The sequence below is a fragment of the Homo sapiens genome, chromosome 14, assembly GCF_000001405.40.
Source record: "Homo sapiens chromosome 14, GRCh38.p14 Primary Assembly".
Lineage (NCBI taxonomy): Eukaryota > Metazoa > Chordata > Mammalia > Primates > Hominidae > Homo > Homo sapiens.
In genome coordinates, this window is record NC_000014.9 from 105,002,994 (window position 1) to 105,022,136 (window position 19,143).

The 19,143-nt window shown below is 53.4% G+C and overlaps 1 protein-coding gene across 2 annotated transcripts, besides 8 other annotated features; it reads right to left on the bottom strand.

Moving 5' to 3' along the window:
* Window positions 1–6,579: 6,579 nt before the first annotated feature.
* Window positions 6,580–18,090, bottom strand: CDCA4 (cell division cycle associated 4). 2 transcript variants are annotated; one of them, NM_145701.4, is made up of 3 exons: window positions 18,006–18,090; window positions 8,167–8,942; window positions 6,630–7,640 (listed from the first exon to the last, which is right to left on the bottom strand). In NM_145701.4, the coding sequence occupies exon 2, from the start codon at window positions 8,934–8,936 to the stop codon at window positions 8,211–8,213; it is 726 nt and encodes a 241-aa protein (NP_663747.1). In that variant the 5' UTR covers window positions 8,937–8,942; window positions 18,006–18,090; the 3' UTR covers window positions 6,630–7,640; window positions 8,167–8,210. The 2 variants fall into 2 exon arrangements, with proteins under 2 accessions (NP_060425.2, NP_663747.1); NM_017955.4 differs by having other exon boundaries at window positions 6,580–8,942.
* Window positions 16,155–16,815: an enhancer, noted in NCBI's record as "H3K4me1 hESC enhancer chr14:105485485-105486145 (GRCh37/hg19 assembly coordinates)". NCBI's record gives its function as "activates a minimal SCP1, AML or CMV promoter by ChIP-STARR-seq in naive H9 embryonic stem cells {active_cell/tissue: H9 hESC(naive)}" and the evidence as "EXISTENCE:reporter gene assay evidence [ECO:0000049][PMID:30033119]".
* Window positions 17,267–17,782: an enhancer, noted in NCBI's record as "H3K27ac hESC enhancer chr14:105486597-105487112 (GRCh37/hg19 assembly coordinates)". NCBI's record gives its function as "activates a minimal SCP1, AML or CMV promoter by ChIP-STARR-seq in primed H9 embryonic stem cells {active_cell/tissue: H9 hESC(primed)}" and the evidence as "EXISTENCE:reporter gene assay evidence [ECO:0000049][PMID:30033119]".
* Window positions 17,267–18,810: a biological region, named in NCBI's record as "H3K27ac hESC enhancers GRCh37_chr14:105486597-105487112 and GRCh37_chr14:105487627-105488140".
* Window positions 17,436–17,525: a silencer, noted in NCBI's record as "silent region_6210". NCBI's record gives its function as "represses an Ori minimal core promoter by ATAC-STARR-seq in GM12878 lymphoblastoid cells {active_cell/tissue: GM12878}" and the evidence as "EXISTENCE:reporter gene assay evidence [ECO:0000049][PMID:35858748]".
* Window positions 17,536–18,425: a silencer, noted in NCBI's record as "silent region_6211". NCBI's record gives its function as "represses an Ori minimal core promoter by ATAC-STARR-seq in GM12878 lymphoblastoid cells {active_cell/tissue: GM12878}" and the evidence as "EXISTENCE:reporter gene assay evidence [ECO:0000049][PMID:35858748]".
* Window positions 18,297–18,810: an enhancer, noted in NCBI's record as "H3K27ac hESC enhancer chr14:105487627-105488140 (GRCh37/hg19 assembly coordinates)". NCBI's record gives its function as "activates a minimal SCP1, AML or CMV promoter by ChIP-STARR-seq in primed H9 embryonic stem cells {active_cell/tissue: H9 hESC(primed)}" and the evidence as "EXISTENCE:reporter gene assay evidence [ECO:0000049][PMID:30033119]".
* Window positions 18,456–18,525: a silencer, noted in NCBI's record as "silent region_6212". NCBI's record gives its function as "represses an Ori minimal core promoter by ATAC-STARR-seq in GM12878 lymphoblastoid cells {active_cell/tissue: GM12878}" and the evidence as "EXISTENCE:reporter gene assay evidence [ECO:0000049][PMID:35858748]".
* Window positions 18,826–18,885: an enhancer, noted in NCBI's record as "active region_9127". NCBI's record gives its function as "activates an Ori minimal core promoter by ATAC-STARR-seq in GM12878 lymphoblastoid cells {active_cell/tissue: GM12878}" and the evidence as "EXISTENCE:reporter gene assay evidence [ECO:0000049][PMID:35858748]".

Genomic DNA, 19,143 nt, shown 5'->3' on the forward strand with positions numbered 1-19,143 from the left:
TTATTTTTTTGAGATGGAGTTTCGCTTTGTTGCCCAGGCTGGAGTGCAGTGGCACAATCTCGGCTCACTGCAGCCTCCTCCTCCCAGGTTCAAGCAATTCTCTGCTTCAGCTTCCCAAGTAGCTGGGATTACAGGCACCTGCCACCACGCCTGGCTAATTTTTGTATTTTTAGTAGAGACGGGGTTTCACCATCTTGGCCAGGCTGGTCTTGAACTCCTGACCTCATGATCCACCCACCTCAGCCTCCCAAAGTGCTGGGATTACAGGCGTGAGCCACCGCGCCCCACCAAAACAGTTAATTTTTTAAAAAAGAACAGCAACACACACAACCTGGGCAAACCTCACGACATGTAAAGGCCAGGCCCTGCAGGTGCCCATTCACAAGCAGATCAGGCCCACAAATCCTGTTGGCAACGGTGGGGACGCACCTCCCCTACCTTAACCCATAGCAGCTACAGGGTATCTTCCCGTGTAAACTGTTGCCAAGCGGACACTGACAATTCTGGCATGTTCTGGACTCTACTATGTACCTCAATTTTTAAAAGTTAAAAAGGAAATAAAGGGGCCGGGCGTGGTGGCTCACGCCTCTAATCCCAACACTTTGGGTGGCCGAGGTGGGTGGATCATGAGGTGAGGAGATCGAGACCATCCTGGATAACACAGTGAAACCCCGTCTCTACTAAAAATACAAAGAATTAGCCAGGCATGGTGGCGGGAGCCTGTAGTCCCAGCTAGTCGGGAGGCTGAGGCAGGAGAATGGCGAGAACCCAGGGGGCGGAGCTTGCAGTGAGCGGAGATCGCGCCACTGCACTCCAGCCTGGGCGACAGCAAGACTCCATCTCAAAAAAAAAAAAAAAAAAAAAAAGGACAATTTAGGGAGAAAATCAGACATTTGACTATGAAGCAGGTGTTAGATATTAAAGAATTCTCCCTAATTTTCCAGTTACAATATGGTGTAAACCAAAAAGCATCTGAGGCAGCTCTCAATCAAGTCAGAGGTTTATTTTGCCAGAGCCCAGGAAAAAGAAACACAAAACCACAGGAACAGTCTGTGATCTGTGCTTTTTCCAAAGAGAGCAAGATTTGGGGACTTCAATATATACACATATTTTATGAGACAGAGTCTTGCCCTGTTGCCCAGGCTGGAGTGCAGTGGCACGATCTTGGCTCACTGCAGCCTCTGCCTCCCAGGTTCGTCACGCAATCGTCTCGCTCAGCAAATTGTGCTTTCATAAGCTACAGCAGACAAGCGCAGCTGCCTGTGGAGGCCTGTGGCCTTCTACCTGCAGCTGTTTGCTCAGAAACAAAAAGGCGGTTTCTTGAATGAGTCAGTTTCCAGCTTAATTTTTCCCTTTGGCCTAGTGAATTTGGGGGCCCTGAAATTGTATTTTTCTTTCACAATGGTATTGTGGTTGTGTAAGAAAATGTCTTTTTTGGCTGGGCGCATTGGCTCACACCTGTAATACCAGCACTTTGGGAGGTCAAAGCAAGAGGATCACCTGAGGTCAGGAGTTTGAGATCAGCCTAGCCAACATGTTGAAACCCCGCCTCTACTAAAAATACAAAAAATTAGCTGGGCATGGTAGCGGGCACCTGTAATCCCAGGTACTTGGGAGGCTGAGGCAGGAGAATTGCTTGAACCCGGGAGACAGAAGTTGCAGTGAGCTGAGATCGCGCCACTGCACTCCAGCCTGGGCGACAAGAGCGAAACTCCGCCTCAAAAAATAAATAAACAAAAGTCTTTTTAAAAAAGTTTAACCTGGCCAGGCATGGTGGCTCACACCTGTAATCCCAGCACTTTGGGAGGCCGAGGCGAGCGGATCACGAGGTCAGGAGTTCAAGACCAACCAGCCTGGCCAACATGGTGAAACCCTGTCTGTACTAATAATAGAAAAATTAGCTGGGCATGGTGGCACAGGCCTGTAGTCCCAGCTACTCAGGAGGCGGAGGCAGGAGAATTGATCGTACCGGGGAGGCAGAGGTTGCAGTGAGTCAAGATCACATGCCACTGCACTCCAGCCTAGGTGACGGAGGGAGACTCAGTCTCAAAAAAAAAAAAAAGGAAAGAAGTTTAACGTGTTTTTAGGGTCAAAATGTCTCAACATCTGGGATTTGTTTTAAAATTCTTTCAGAAACTCAAAAAGGCCAGGTGCGCTGGCTCATGCCTGTAATCCCAGCACTTTGGGAGGCCAAGGCGGGCGGATCACTTGAGGTCAGGAGTCTGAGACCAGCCTGGCCAACATGGCGAAATCCCGTCTCTACTAAAAATAATTAGCCGGGCGTGGTGGTGGGCGCCTGTAACCCAAGCTACTCGGGAGGCTGAGGCAAGAGAATCGCTTGAACCTAGGAGGTAGACGTTACAGTGAGCCAAGATTGCGCCACTGCACTCCAGCCTAGGCGACAGAGTAAGAGACTCTGTCTCAAATTAAAAAAAAAAAAAGGATGAACAGTGCTAACACCTGGTCAGCCCAGGCAGCAGGCCCGGGGGCTCAGTGTCCTGCTTCCCAGCTCGGGCTCCAGGTGTGTGAACTGTTCCAGGCAAGCCTGCCTGCTTCGGGACAGCACCTCTACCTCTGGCTGGGAGCTCTGCCTGGCCCTCAACTTGCATCCAGAAGGCGAAGCATGGGGAACCATGAGGCCACAGTCGAGGGCCAAGTGTTTGGGGTGGTGGCAGGGGTTGTGGCCTCCTGGGGACCCTCCCAGTCCCCAGTGACCCTCAGCACCAGGCTGGCCAGGCCCACGGGCGAGGAGGAAAATGCACGGCCCGTGCTCCTCGCAGCCGCACCCAGTGTGAGCACGGCTGAGCAGCTCTGCGGGAGTGGTGGCCCCGTGGTCACAGGGACAGGATCACAAACCAGGATCTTCCAACAGGCTGGGATCTGACCACTTCCCCGGCCCTCACCCCCAGCACCCCCTCCAGCTGCGCATGCACATACGTGTAGGTGCACACACACGTGCACACCCTCCTACACCACCCAGCCAGTCCCCACAGCAGGCAGCCAGGATGGAGGCAGCACCTTTCCGCCTGTGTCTCACCGTGGGACTGGGCTTAGGCTGACTTGGTACAGCCAGTCCCCAGGACGGGCTGGGCCTCTGGCCAGGGTCGGGAGGCAGAGGCACCGCCCCAACTGAGCTCTCAGAGCTGGGTAGTGCCCCTTCTTGTTCTCCTGCCCCTCAGTGGGTGGCTGGTCCTGCTGGGTGCCTGGGTCCAGCACAGCTGTCACAGGCCAGGCCACCAGCCAAGGTGGGAAGAACAGGGTGAAGACGGCAGAGCCCCTGGGAGAGCTTCCTGGGACCCGATCTTCAGCTTGTGGGCAGCACGCACCCCACCTGGCTCTTGCCCTGCAGGCTGCCCAGCTTTATCACTGGTGGGGTCATTGGTGGGGCAGCCCCTCCTGGGGCCCAGCACCACAGTGCCCTCTGTCCCCAGGCCTGCCCAGCTCTTTGTAGGGTCCTGGAACGCCCCTTCTCTGACCCCAGCGGGAAATGAACCCACCTGTAATGAAAGTCCTGTCTGTCAACCAAATGCAGCCCATGGGCCTGGCTGTGCTCTGCATCAGCTCCAGTAAGAGGATCACCGGGCAGCCTGGAGGGCAGGTTCGCCTGGCATGCCAGATTTCTCCGCAGCTTGCGATGGAGGCACTTGCAGGGAGGCACATGTGTGAGTGCAGGACAGAGGAGCTTTCATCAGGCAGAGGCTGCGTGTTCATAACATCCCGTCCAGGTTGCTTTGTTTTGAATCTGAGGTGGTTTTCGACTCCACTCTGGGCGTCCACCCAAGAGGTGCCTGTGGACACCCACCCGCTCCCCCAACTCCATGCAACTTGCCAACCTTCAAGTAGATCGGTGTAACTACCCCCCAGTCCGATGGTGTGCAGGAATGTGGGGGCAGCAAGGTCACAGGGCCTCGGGCCAACCCAGGGATGGGGGTAGTTTATACATTTGGGGCTTTTTCACAAAAAGATGAGGGTGCTGAAGGGTCCCTGAAGGCCCCAGAGGTGGCAGGGCCGGGCCAGGCCAGGCAGTGAGCCCGAGCCTGGCGTCTACAGGCCGACGGGAACCACTGCACAGTGGCTGTGGCCAACAGGCTGCTCAGAGCCTATCATTTTTAGGGCCTTTCCTGGACCTTCCACTCCAGCTCGCTGTAGGTTTTCCAAGCCTCTTGTTCTGGCATTGACCAAATTGTCACCCAAGAAGCAGGCCCTCAGTGCACCTCCAGTTCATCCAGCTGGTTCCGACAGCTTCAGGAACAGTCCATGGAGCTGCTCCCAGCTTCCTCTGCAAGGCCCCTGCCGGGCTCCTCTGCGCAGTGCAGAGGCTCATTCAGGCCCAGCGTGGAAGGCAAGGGGGACGGATCTGAGAAGGCGGGGCTTATCTCCCAGGGGCACAGCAGAGTGAGGGATGGGCCGATGAAGTGTACGCCTGCAAGGGGCAGCAAGCAGCCCCAAGAGCTTAAACTGTCCAGCTGCAGCAAGTCTGCTGGAGCGACCAAGCAACATGTGTCACCTCAACTGAGGGCTGCACTTGGCAGTCACATCTTCCCAGACGGGCGATCGCCACTCCTGAGAATACTGCAAAGGCTCATCACTGAGAAAGGGAGGTTACCCTCGAACCCTCAGGCATCCACACATCACAACTCCCCTCCCTGCTTGGCTCCACTACAAACCCTGAGCAGGCACTGAGGACACAGCCACCTCCACACAGGGCATGAGAAGGAACAGCGGCCTTCCTGTGAGTAAATGCAGCAACCCAGCACACACAGCACTGCCACATGGAAAGCTTGGTTCAGGTCACAGCAAAATCCCAGTTTAAGGACACGGCTCGCTGGTTGCAGATAGAAACTTCTAGCAACCCAGAAACCAACTGTGAGAGTTTATGATGAGGGACGTGATCCCACCACTCTGTCTTTAGGTAGACACCAAGGCAACACATCAAGTGTCCACACCTCAGACACCCACCCACCCCAGCCCGGCCCTTTCCGGTGGCTCCGCCAGCCTGCTCACCCGGCTACCTGGACTCCACAGGGTGAGCACAATGTCCACACTTGTTCCGCAGTTTGCTGCTGCGTCCTCCTTCCATCACTGCCGGGCCCACTTCACTAAGGAGTGAACCTGGGAGAAGGCGCCTGGCCCAGATGTGGCCCAGCAGGGATCCAGGCCCAGATGGCTGGGCTCAGCCCTGTGGAGACCACCCCCTCCCACCCCGCCCCGCCCCCGAGGAAATCCTGCGCAGGCATCTGTGGGCGGAGCAGGTAGCGTTCTCCAAGGTGCGCTGTCACCCCTGAAAGGAAGATCGGTTCCCTGGGAGGAGTCTGCTATCTTCATACTGGTTCCATGTCTTCAAATAAACGTGCATTACTTTATAACCCTAGAAACCGAACTTCTGAGGTAGAAGGGGCTCCGAAGCTGTGTGCAAGGCATGCTGCACGTGAGGGGTACCCACCACACGTCAGGAAACGCCCCTGGGAAACTGTCAACTAACATGCCCGCTCCCCTCAGTTTGGCCAGAAGCAAACCGCAGAGAACAGTGCCAAGTTTAGATGACTGGAATTTGTATTTCTGTTTCTGAATAAACATTTTGTAAACAAAATTATTAAACACTTGGAAAATTTCTTCCCAATTAAAGTCAATTTGTACCTACAGACTTAAAAATACCACATACATGGCCAGGTGCGGTGGCTCACGCCTATATTCCCAGCACTTTGGGAGGCCGAGGCAGGTGGATCACCTGAGGTTGGGAGTTCGAGACCAGTCTCATCAACATGGTGAAACCCCATCTCTACTAAAAATATAAAAATTAGCCGGGCGTGGTGGCACATGCCTGTAATCCCAGCTACTTGGGAGGCTGAGGCAGGAGAATCGCTTGAACCTGGGAGGCAGAGGTTGCAGTGAGCCAAGGTCACGCCATTGCACTCCAGCCTGGGCAACAAAAGTTAAATCCTGTCAAAAAACCAAGAATGCCAGGCGCGGTGGCTCACGCCTGTAATCCTAGCATTTTGGGAGGCTGAGGCAGGTGAATCATGAGGTCAGGAGTTCGAGACCATCCTGGCAACACGGTGAAACCCTGTCTCTACTAAAAATACACCAAATTAGCTGGGCGTAGTGGTGGGTGCCTGTAATCCCAGCTACTTGGGAGGCTGAAGCAGGAGAATCGCTTGAACCTGGGAGGCAGAGGTTGCGGTGAGCCAAGATCGCGCCACTGCACTCCAGCCTGGGAGACAGAGCGAGACTCCATCAAAAAAAAAGAAAAAAAAAAAACAAAAAAAAACAAAGCCACACACACGGACTAAACTTGCAGAGAAATGATGCTTGGAAAACAGCTGATTACTCAGCCACTGCGCACCACGGTGGAAACAAGCAGGCTTTGGTGTACGGTGTCACAGGTGAACACGGCGAGTCCAGGGAATGAGACTCCGGCTACACTTCTAAGTCACAGCAGCTGTTCTCTCCTGTCTGTGGTCCTTCCACAGACCCAGTCTGTTTTCCGACCAAGCACCCCTAAAGCGCTCAAAAGTCACATTCTCTGAGCAGTTTATAATTTTGAAGGCTACCAAAACAGGCACTACAACTACTACTAATGCTGAACAAATGATGTTTCTAAAAGATAAAAATGCTATACAGAAACAAAATAGTGCTTTAGATTTATTCCTATAAAACACATACCCTTTAAACTAGGGTCCATGAGGATTAACTTTCGACATCGGGGGCTGTCAGAGGTCGTGGACACCCCCAACTCCAGCCGGGCGCTGAACAATGTAAAAAGAATTTGCTCTGCAACCCTGTGGGGGGGGGAAATAAAAGTAACCCAGCGTCCATTTAATGCAGCCAAGTGCAATTCCTTTCCCCACCTTAGAAAGCACCACCAGATAATACAGCAGAACTGATCCTGCAGAAAGGTTGCTGGAGGGTCAGGCCGTGGTCGTAACTAACACCACATTCCCATTTTGTTTGCTGGATAATTTTTTAATAAAGTGAGGTTTACATCACTGATATTTAAGAATGGCTATATGCACAAAAGAAAACACACCTTTTTGGTTAAGGGGTGAGGAAGTTAGAGAAAGCATGAGAAACAGGGAGCATGTGGGGTGAGGCGGGGCAGGAGTGGAAGGCTGCAGGCACCCCCAGCTCACTCCCTGCCTGCGGCAGCACCCATGACACTACAGATCAAGGGGTTATGAATGACATGGATTCAGATTTCTTTCATTCTAGACTTCAACCTAGCCTTAACCTTTTGTTTCAGCACCAGTCTAACAGAGCAGCGCAGGCGTTTCTCATCCAGCAGCAATGCTACTTCCTCACCCAGGGCAGGTGCATGGGCTGACCCTGATGGGAGCCTCCAGGAACACTGCCTTGAGAAGGCACCACCGAGGGGCTATGAGGTCCCTGAAGACCAACTGGTGCCTGTGATCTACAAACAGACAAATATTTGACCTTTGTCTTCAATGACATTTACATATAAATAGACATAAATAAAATCCTCCATAATTTACTCTTAGGTCTAGGAAGATGTGGCTGTGTGCGGCTCCTGATTTTCACCCAGGTCTCACTGCAGCGCAGGACATAATGAAGAAGTATCACACACACATTTAAAGTAAAACATGATACATTCACACTGTTGACTGAGACTGTAGTGATGCTCACTGCAAAAAACAAAACAAAACAAAAAACCCTTATTTAAACCTTAAAAAAATGAAACACACCAACTGCAATTGTTTAGGCTATAAAAGTTCTAATGTAGCAGCAAAGGATGTTTATAGAAAAAATATACTTTTAAGAAAATAGCTGAAAAAATCTAAAGAGATAAGGTATAAAAAGTTTAAAAAATATATCTTAAGACAAAATACTGCCCAAAACATGTAAAACTGAATTGTAAAAATTCACCTATCTAAAGGTAAAAGGAGGTTGATGCAGCTGCGGCTCACCGTCCTCTACAGTGGGGGACACAAAGAGACACGAGGGGCCCAGGGCTGTGGGGACGTCAGAAGACAAGAAGCCTTCCAGAACAGCCTCTGCCTGGCGCTCCACAGGGGGGAGGTGAGTGGGACGGGCCTAGGGCTGCAGCCCCACTGGTAATGGGCTGTTCTGGGATTTCTCAGAATCAGCAGACAGGGCAGCAAGGCTGGGCCGCTGGCGGCAGGCGCACCCTCCGTGGGAGCCAGTGCTCACGTGTCAATGCGTCAGAGGCGGCTGTGAGCACTCAGGGCTCCTGCTCAGGTCTCCACCAGGATCTCCACCACGTGGTCCAGCTCGCCCAGGTCGGACTTGCAGCTGGAGCTAGGGCCTGGGGTGGCCGGAGCCAAGCCCTCGAGCCCTTCGCAGGGGCCCGGCCTGGCACCCCCCATCATGCCTGTCAGTACTGTGTCCAGGTCGTAGTAGGGGCTGTCCACGTCTGAGAACAGCTCTTCCATGCAGCTGGGGTTTTTAGTCTCCAGCGTTTCAAATATCTGATCAAGTGACTTGTGAAAGCTTCCTCTGTTTTCTCGAGGGCCATCCATCTCCCAGGCGCTGCTCTGCAGGTGCCTTGGTGCCTGTGCTGAGGTGACTGGGCAAAGGTCAGAAACTGGACCCTGTGTGTGGCCGTCCCCCAAGCCAGGAGCAGGATGTGCCCCCTCTTGCCCCCACGCTGCACGGCACAGGATCTCCGTGGAGACCAAGCGGTCGAGCGGCGCCCGCTCTGCAGCCTGGGGTGCCACTGTGCGCCACGTCCCATCCTGCGTCATCTCCTCTTGGATCTGCCGGACCGTGTTGGCAATGAGGACTGAGCGGCACAGGTTGGGCTCCACAAGCATGTGGCAAAGCTGCAACTTCACCAGAGACATGTCCAGGAGCGACTGCCGCTGCAGGCTGTATGAGGACACTGTCTTCAAGCCGGCCAGGGCTCCCTCCACGTCTTCCTCGTGGCCAACACATTTCCTCTTCAGTCCTCGTGCAAACATTGTGTCCTGCAGAAACCAAGGAAGACACCACTTAGCACACGGCAGACTCTCTGCGGACAGCGCCCCTTGGATTTCGTCTGACTGCCCTCACTGTACGCAAGGAGCAGCGACTCCGTAACTGGCAGGGACTTGACAGAGCTGTAACTCCCTAACAGAGCTGAGACGTGGAGCCCAGTGGGAGACCCCCACCCCCAGATCAGCTGCCATCCTGCCTAAGCCAGGCACAGTCACGTTGTTAGAAACGACAAACCTCTCAACTGTACCACGACAGTGTTTTATAGCAAAAAAGATAAATGAACTAAAAATAGGAGAAATATATAAGAGAAATGTAAGTGTTCGAGAGCTTGGCTGAAAATCTGTTTCAAAAATCTAACTGTGGTGTGTACAAAAGAAGAGACCCTGGGGTAACATGAGATTAATGTGAACCGTGCCAGCCTGCAGAGGGCGCAGGGCGGGGGCCGGACAGGGCCGGGCACACACACGTACCATTCTGACTTCCCTCAGGATCCTGCCTCGGACAAAGTCACTTCTGCGTTCAGAAGAGTTAGTGCCTTCCCCCTCAATGCTTTCACTAAAAGCCTCTATATGTCGCAGACAGCCGGGCTGGAAAGCTGTGCCACCAGGAACGCGCAGGGGAAGGACTGCAGGGCTGTATGCTCATCCCATGCAGCGAGTGGTCTGTGTTTCGTGCACAATTCTCCAAGGGACACAGGGTCTCCTGGCCGAGCCTATGTGGCCCTGGACAGTCCCTTGCTCCCACACCCGCCCATGCTGCCTGCCTTAGGGATCACACCCATTCCTTGGCTCCCCCCACCCGCCCCACCAGTTCATTTCTCCCAAGGTGCACAGGCTCTGCCTGGCTGCTTTCTACTTGACATCTCTCAGGTCAATGCCCTCCACTCGAGAGCTCTGACCAGCCCGTACAACCATGGCCTCAGGGGCCACCTCCCCTCTCATCTCAACTCCTTTCTCTTCAAAGGAACCAAAACATGGCAGGGTATGTGTGTGTCCGGGGCAGGGGGGGTGGGTTCCTCACCAGTGTGTTGTGGCAGCCCAGAGCTGGCCAAGGCAGTGTTTCTCGGCGTATGCCTCAGCACTGGCGCTGTTGGTTGAAGATGCAGATTCCTGGATCTTACCCCAGACCTGGGCAACTCCGGGATGGCACCTAAGGCTCAGCCTTGCTGGGCAGGTTCCACTAAGACGCACAGCACAGATGCACTAGATGGACATTGGCCATGTCTACTCTCAGAAGTACAAGTCTGTGCAAACTGTTTTTTTTTTTTTTTAACTGATTCTAAATTGGGACATCTCTGGGGCACTAAAGGCAGAGCAGACAGGAGGGTGGGCTCTGGCTTTTGACAGATGCCATTCTGAGCCAGTGCCGCCTGCGGGGAGCTGGGAGGATGACAGCTGGCTCAGGGCCATACTGGCCGGCAGAGTCTGACAGGACAAGCATCTCACGCATGATTAAGTTTCTCTCTTCTCATGCTTGTAATGTAGTGAAATATTATTTCAAATAATTCAAGTTATGCATAAATAGGGTTACAATCTTTTGAATATGCAAACTTTGGAACTTCTTTTTCTCTTAGTCAATCTGATGGCTCCCTGTGACCAGGGTATACCCAGGTGCTCTTGGAAAGCTGGCGTATGGGAGGCACATGCTGTCTCTGCTCGGGGTCTGGAGACCAAGGATGGGAAGTTTTGCAGTGCGGGAGAACTGGCTGCCAAACATACCCCTTCCCAGGAGCCCCTCTGGAGGCTCCCACCTGCTGGTCCTACCCTTGAATTAACAGAAGAAAGGGTCCCCCTGTTCTCTGAATTTCCCTTCAGTGTCACAGATCTCATCCCCGTGCCTTTAACACATGTAAATTTTAAAAAACTAAGTGACCTCTTGGGCATTTATCCCAGAGAAAAAGCCAATGTTCATGCAAAAAACATGTTCCAGAATGTGCACAGCAGCTTTATTTGTAGTAGCTCCAAATCTGAAACAAGGAAAATGTACCCTTCACCTGGGCACGGTGACACACACTCTGCTCCATTCATGCCACCAAATCCTACTCTGCAATAGAAAGAAATGAACTGTTGATACACAGGACGGATCCTTCCACAGGGGCATTAGGCTGAGGGAGAAAAGCCAACCTCAGAAGGGTGCTTGCTATGGGATCCCATTTATGCCACATTGTCATGCTGACCCAGAGCTGAGGGGTGGCAGGGCTAGAAAGGAACCTGCGCAGGGAGATCTTGGGGGTGAGGGCCCTTCTGCTCCTGGGCTGTGGGGGTGGCCCTACCCTGACTGCACAGCGCCGGACACGCACACATGCGCCTGCGGCAGCCGTGTCATCACACGGACCTGGGGCCTGGCTGTGCATCCTACAAGGATGCCGGCCCTGGGGAGCAGAGGAAGGGCACATAGGACCTCCTGAACACTGCTCTGCAACCTCCCCTGGCTCTACAATTATTTCAAAATTAAAATTAAAGGAAAACTTCCCTAACCCTAGCTTATTTCCCCTACAGCACCCATTTCCCCAGAGCAGCATGCCAGTGTCACCACAGGCACAGCCCTCAGGCTGGGCACCGCCTCTCACACCTGCATACACCAGCTTCTCAACTAATTCTAAATGAAGGACAGTTTACCACCAAAACACATTTACACATTTCTATTACTTTTGGTAAATATTCGAGTTCTTTGTGTCAGCCACAAATTTAACTTTTCAGAGCTTTTCCATCCCAATCCATTGTTTAAATCACTGGCTTAAAATTGCTAAGTATATCGAGAATTAACATAAGGCTATGTCAAACTACAAAGGACACCCTGCGTTGGGGAAAAGATTAAGTCCCACGGGTTCCTCTGTGGGAAGTCAATATACCTTTTAGGTTTTTAGTTTCTCTTTCAACCTATCTCAATCCCAAGCCTGCATAGCAATGGATTAATTTAGGACCCAAACCAAATCCTCTTGAACAGCATGCATTAAGCCCAAGTTTATAGACAGAAGAACCCCTGGCTGCCTCCCCTGACTCTGGAAACCCAGCAGCACAACCCCCATAATGTGGGGCCTACAGGAGGTCAGCACGACTGAGCAGGGCAATCAGGGCAACTCACAGAAGGAACAAGAATACCAATGGGACAGGCCAAGAAGACCCACAACCACACTGGGAACCAGTTCAAGAAGCTGTCCCAAGCTCCTAGGACCCTCTGGGTCCCACTTTCCTTTCCTCTGAGTCCTTAGAAATGCCAGGTCCTGAGTCCAAACCCAACGACAGACCCTCCCGCCCTTTTCTGAAAGCCAGATATGGATACTAGAAGCCTCCCACTGGGGATCTTAAGAGGATGAATTCAGTGCTTGGCCTGGTGCTGTCAGCGGTCCTAAGGGCAGCACTAGCAATACGTGACCGTCAGAAATCACCCTAATAACATCTGCTCTGAGCGAGGGAATATACCAACAAACAATGGCGGAACCACATACAGAAACAGAACTCTCAGCCATTATCTGCCGCCATCAGTCGGAAACCAGCCCTTTACCTTCAGTAACGGGCCAGGAAGCCAGGTTGCCCTAGTCAGACCTGCAGGAAGCCTGGCTGCTTTCTCTAGGAACAATCCAGGAAGCTAAACAATCATTTCCATAGCAAGCAGCCCAAAATGGCCAGGACATGATTAGTAACCGACAACCTCTCCAGTTTTTGTCCCTGCTTCCAATTTAGGACCAACCAGAGAAAGCCAAACATGTTCTAGGCCATCTCACAGGAGCCCCACTTCTTTGTTGTTGTTGTTGTGTCGCCCAGGCTGGAGTGCAGTGGCGCAATCTCAGCTCACCGCAACCTCCGCCTCCCAGGTTCAAGGGATTCTCCTGCCTCAGCCTCCCGAGTAGCTGGGATTACAAGGGTGTACCACCAGGCCTGGCTAATTTTTATATTTTCAGTAGAGACTTACCATGTTGGTCAGGCTGGTCTCAAAACTCCTGACCTCGGGTGATCCACTCACCTTGGCCTCCCAAAGTGCTGGGACTACAGGCGTCAGCCACCGTGCCAGGCCAGGAGCCCCACTTCTAACTGGCCACCCCAGTCCCCCAAGTCAGCAGCCTCCATCAGCCATCCCTGAGCTTCCCTGGATTCCACTGTAAAGCTCTCCTGTTCCCTCACCTGCCTATGAGTTTCTGCCAATCACGAGAGAGGAGGGCCGCACCCTTGCTAGGGGAAGCTCTGGATAAACAGCCTCTGCCTGTTCTCACCTGGTTGCTTATTTCCACAGCTCACCATAGACAATCTGGAAGAGCATCAAAAACCATAAAACGAATTTTCTCCCAGGATCCCATCCACTCAGAAAAACACAGTCACCACCTGGGTTCCTCCTTTCCAGTCGTTTCTCCCAGCACTTTCCTCTCTGCACAAGGGAGGGAAGTTTCACACTACTGACAATTTTCCCAATCACAAATGATACCAGTTTCTAACTTTAGGTGTTTTGGTATTTCTAGCATTTGGCTTCCTTAGCCTCGGCTCTTTACTTACTAGGGTGATGTGCAGGTACATTTTTAAGAGGCTTGATAAACATTATTAAACTGCATCCTAAGAAGGTGGAACGCTCCACCAACTTTCTCCCGCACTATTTCTGCACACTTGCTGGTAAAGCTTCCTCTTGTTTTGCCAAGTCTCTAAGCCCCACAGCTAAGCGTTCCTTCCCTCCTCCACTGAGCTCCACGTCTGTGTTCCTACCCTGTTCCACGGCTGCTCTCCTGCCAGGACCAGACACCCTGGCCTCCCTGTGTAGGTCCTTTTCTGGCCATGCCACCCTTCAGCTCTGGGTCAGCCCAACAATGTGGCATAAATGGGATCCCACAGCAAGCACCCTTCTGAGGTTGGCTTTTCTCCTTCAGCATAATTCTCTTGAGATCCTTGCAAACTCTTGTGTGTCAACAGTTCCCAACAGAGTAGGATCTGGAGGCACAGACGGAGCAGAGTGTCACCACACCCCAGCTGAAGGGAACTTTTTCCTTGTTTCCAGTTTGGAGTTATTACACATAAAGCTGCTATGGACATTCTAGAACATGTTTTTGCATGAACATTGGTTTTTCATTTCTCTTGGATAAATGCCAAAGAAATAATCGTTTTATAAAATTTAGGAGTGTTAAATGCACAGGCAATGAGATCTATCACACCGAAAAGAAATTCAGAGAACAGGGGGAACCTTTTTTCTGTCTATTCAAGGACAGGACCAGCAGGTGTGAGCCTCCAGAGAGGCTCCTGGGGAGGTGGGGGGCGGTCCTTGGCCTAGTTTCATCACTCTCAGTTGTAAGCATTCTTTTTTTTTTTAGATGGAGTCTCACTGTCGCCCAGGCTGGAGTGCAGTGGTGCAATCTCGGCTCACTGCAACCTCCACCTCCTAGGTTCAAGCGATTCTCCTGCCTCATCTTCCCTCAACTTCCCGAGTAGCTGGGATTATAGGCGTGCACCACCACGCCCAGCTAGTTTTTTGTATTTTTAATAGAGCCGGGGTTTCGCCATGTTGGCCAGGCTGGTCTCGAACTCCTGACATCAAGTGATTTGCCCACCTCGGCCTCCCAAAGTGCTAGGATTACAGGAGTGAGCCATCACACCCAGCCACAAGCATTCTTTTAGGACTTAAACAGCCCGGGCACAGTGGCTCATGCCTGTAATCCCAGCACTTTGGGAGGCTGAGGCAGGCGGATCACCAGGTCAGGAGATTGAGACCATCCTGGCCAACACGATGAAACCCCATCTCTACTAAAAATACAAAAGATTAGTCAGGTGTGGTGGCACGTGCCTGTAGTCCCAGCTACTCGGGAGGCTGAGGCAGGAGAATTGCTTGAACCTGGAAGGCGGAGGTTGCAGTGAGCAGAGATTGCACCACTGCACTACAGCCTGAACAACAGAGCGAGACTCCGTCTCAAAAAAAAAACACACACACACAAAAAAAACACTTAAAACAAGTTGAATGTATACGATCTGGTGTATTCTGACAAAGGAATGCAACTCAGCAACATACCTCAATGATTTATGCAACACGGATAAATTTCAAAACATTATGCTGAATAAAAGCAGCAAGACACACACAAAAATATGTACCGTAGGATTCTATTGATCTGAACCTTCAGGACAGGCAAAGCTAATCTAAGTTGTGAAAACACAGAAGGGTAGCCACCATCAGGGTGGGAAATGCTACAAGGGGCCAGAAAGAATCCTCCAGGATGATGGAGATTCTCTCTCGCCCCTTGTAGGACTTGTGTAACCCAGGGACCTGCATAGATGTGCCTGGGTTACACAAGTTCTACAAGGGACGAGAGATAATCCCCATCATCCTCCACTGCATCTCATCCCATGCACAGATCCCATTCTGGTACCAGGAGAATATCCCTGTTCAGTCACTTCAAATCATTCCTCTCCAATGTTCCAAATCTCCAGCAGCTGTTAATTCTGTGTTGTACCCAATATTTTAAAATGCTGACAAGTTTATTACTATTAATACAAAAAAGAGTAAAGCTCACAGGTGCTTTTTACAGTCACGTGACCCCAAAGAGCTGTCACCCAGAACATGTGTTCAGGAGTGAAGAGGATAAGGTTGGGCCCGGAGAAGCTGGCCTGTGAGGATCACCCTGAATTGGGTTATATCTGTGTTTGGGACAAAGTCAGCAAGAGCATGGTCTTAACCAGCCCCGAGGGATGCCTGGGCTGGGCCCAGCTCCCTGAGGGCCTCCTGTGTGACTTCTGCCTGAGGCTGCTTAACTCCTTCTAATATGGAATGAGAAAGGGCCCTATACCATACCGGTGGGGCTGTGGAGCCTAGCTCCCTGCTCAATTTTTTTTTTTTTTTTTAAGACAGAGTCTCATTCTGTCCCCCAGGCTGGAGTGCAGTGATGCAATCTCAGCTCACTGCAACCTCCACCTCCCAGGTTCAAGCGATTCTCCTACCTCAGCCTCCCGAGTAGCTAGGACTACAGGCACGCGCCACCACACCCGGCTAATTTTTGTATTTTTTGTAGAGACGGGGTTTCACCATGTTGGCCAGGCTGATCTCGAACTCCTGAACTCAGGCAATCCGCCCATCTCGGCCTCCCAAAGTGCTGGATTACAGGCGTGAGCCACCATGCCTGGCCCCCTGCTCAGTTTTGAAGCTCTTTCTACACATCTAGTTAAATGCCTAAAATCCCACCAACTCCACAGGTTGTTACCGGGACAGCCAAGCCCTCAGTCAACTCCCAGCACTGCCCTCAGGCTTCTAAACCAAGCACCGACCAGACAGAGAAAAACGAAGAGGGCCAGACGGACTGAGGACATGTCCGACATGGCAGGTGGAACAGCCAACAGGCCACTAGGGACAGAGCAACCTAGGCCCACCGAGGCAGAGGCCAGCAGGGAGCAGCCCCGCAGTGCTGCTCAGGCAAGCAGAGTACAGCTCGGGGACTGGTCCTTCACTACAGCAGCAGTGGCCACACCTTCGTGGCTGAGCAATACCACGAGGCTGGCTGAAAACGCAGATTCCCAGATTCTGATCAGTAGGGCTGGGACGGTTGGGGACAGACTCAACTCTGACCTAACCTGTCACCTTCACAGCTGGACTTGCAGCCACTTCAAAGTTTCGGGTTTTTAAGCAAATCATCAACAATTTCCATTCCTCACACATCAGATAAGCTTTGAAATACTTTATCGGAAAAACAGGGAGAAGAGGAGCAAGGTCTGCAGTCTTGAGTACTGAGTGGGAGCTCCACCTTCCACTACAAGTCTCCTGGAGGCTGTTCATGAACAATTACTGTTATGTTAATTTCAGGTATTTGGTTTTTTTTGTTTTTTGAGACGGAGTCTCGCTCTGTCGCCCAGGCTGGAGTGCAATGGCACGATCTCGGCTGAGACCTCTGCCTTTCTGGTTCAAGCGATTCTCCTGCCTCAGCCTCCCACATAGCTAGGATTATGATTACAGGCATGCGCCATCACGCCCAGCTAATTTTTGTATTTTTAGTACAGACGGGGTTTCACCACGTTGGCCAGCTAGTCTCGAACTCGGGACCTCAGGAGATCCACCCGCCTAGGCCTCCTCTCAAAGTGCTGGGAGGTGTGAGCTACCGCGCCCAGCCAATTGCAGGTACTTTTGTTACTTGGAACGAAACACACTCCTTCTTTTCCCTGAAAACATGTTCCAGTGGCAAGTTGAGGGAAACTTCCTAGCCCCTTTTCCAAGATACAGCCTACTACTCTTCCTAGAAAAGGGGTGTAACTCACTTTGTATTCTGGATTTCCACCCTAATTATAAAACACGGTGACACTTGAAAATAGAGTGGTTGTACGTAGAAAGTTGATAAAACGTAAGTTTTGTGAACAGGCAATGTTTTTCTGTGGCTCGCTTTGAGAGAACGGTTATCTGGGTCCCGCCGTCCCGTGCGTCCCACACGAAGGCCACAGGAGAAGCGAGGCAGCGGAGACCCTCTATTCCAGCAAGCTGTCGGAGCCTTTGCCACGACGATCCTGTTTGCGGGGCGAGAAGCGTCTGAAGACGCGGAGGGAGGCTTGCGTCTGACTTCTGCAAGTGTCTCGGGGACTTTCCCTAGTCCCACCTCGCACCGCCGGAGGAGCCCAGGGAAGACGGCGCTGGCCGACCCGCCCGGGGTCTGGGCCTCCTCCCACATCCGCGGCCCTCTCCGCGGCCGGGCTCCGACAGAGGGGGCTGCGGCGCGCCTGGCGTTCCCTCCGCTGCAACTAGAGCCGAGGTACGGGAAACGCCGCTGCGTACCCCAGCCGGGCCCTCGTGAAGCGGCTCCCGCGTGGGGCCGCCCGCAGGCCTCGGCAAAGCCCCAGCTCCGCGCTCCGCAAGGAACGCAGACGGCGGCCCGGGCCCCTCTGTTCCCCGGGCCCCCTCAGCAGCGGCCACCCCGCGGGGGAACCAGCGCCCAGGAGGGCGGCGAGGGCGCCGCGGCAGCCCCAGCGGTGGTCCCGGGCGCCGCCTCCGCCCCGGACCCAGCGCCAGGAGCCACAGACTCCGCGCACCGCCCCCAGGCTCCTCCGCGCCCTGCAGCACAAAAGTGCACGCCGCCGTAGACGCCCTAGCGGTCCGCCGGGCCCGCTCACCTGACCCGCGAGGCCGCCCGCCGGGTCCTCTGCTCAGCCACCGCCACCGCCGCTGCCGCCAGCTTCCCGCCGCTGAGGAAGGAGCGCCCGACGGCGCGGGGCGGGGCGAGCGACCGCCACTCGGCGTCCACAAAGGGTCGACGCTGCGCTCTCCGCGCGCTACGCCCGCTGATTGGCCACTCGCGGGCCGGGGGCGGGGCCTCTTGTTCAAACCCACGCGGGCGGGGCATCTGTGGCGCGTCTTCCCGCGCTGCGGCGACGGCCGTTGGGGCTCGCGCGCGCCCTCGGTTGCCCCGCCCCCGCCCCTGCGCCCGGCCCCGCCACGCCCACGCCCCGCCGGCTCCCAGGTCTCCCCGCGCCCAGTCCGGCCCCGCCCCGCCAGCTCCCAGGTCTCCGCGCGTCTGGCCCTGAACTGAACGCGCCTGCGCCTGGGGCCCACGTGGGGCCCTCGGGCGGGCGTGGCGGGGCAAACAGAGGTTTGGACTCTCTCGCTTCTGCCTGGCTCAACTTCTCCGCCGAGGCATCCGTGCCGGGGTCGGGAGGAGCCGGGCACGGCAATTCCCGGGCGGTCTGGGCTCCGAGGTCTATCCAAGCCTCTCCAGAGACCGGGGTTATCTCCAAAGGCTTCCTAGGTTTACACGTAAGAAATGTAACGTGAAAGTTCAAAGCAGGGGACACGTGTTTTAAATCTCTTAGTGGAAAAGGTTTTAAATAGGATGCGAGAACCTGCAATCATTGACTTAAGTAATACCCTGAGCGCCTGCAGCAGGCCCGGCAGGCGTGGCTGCAGCTGAGAGCCAAGTGCTGGAAGTTGGGGGGGAATCCTCAGATCAATCCGCAGGTGCGGATGCGCCAAGGTCGGTGGTAAATGCTGAAATGCTGTCGGGAAACCTGGGAGTGACGTGGGGGCGCTGCTCACATAGGTCTCTAGGATAAGGAGCGTCTTAAAGCACCAAAAGGAAGAGTGGACGAGAATTCAGGAGAGGAATGGCTGGGGCAAAGCCCGAGGCAGGGGCAGGAGGCAGGAGCACGTCTCAGTGCAGTGAGAAAGAACCCTGTGATCTCGTGGGAAAGTTTTAAGTGTGAGGGGTGGAGGGACTTTTGGGCTATTCTGGGAGTGGGATGGAGACTACTGGCA

Excerpts from the sequence above, each read along its gene's own strand:
- CDCA4 (NM_017955.4), bottom strand. The coding sequence starts at position 8,936 with ATGTTTGCACGAGGACTGAAGAGGAAATGTGTTGGCCACGAGGAAGAC.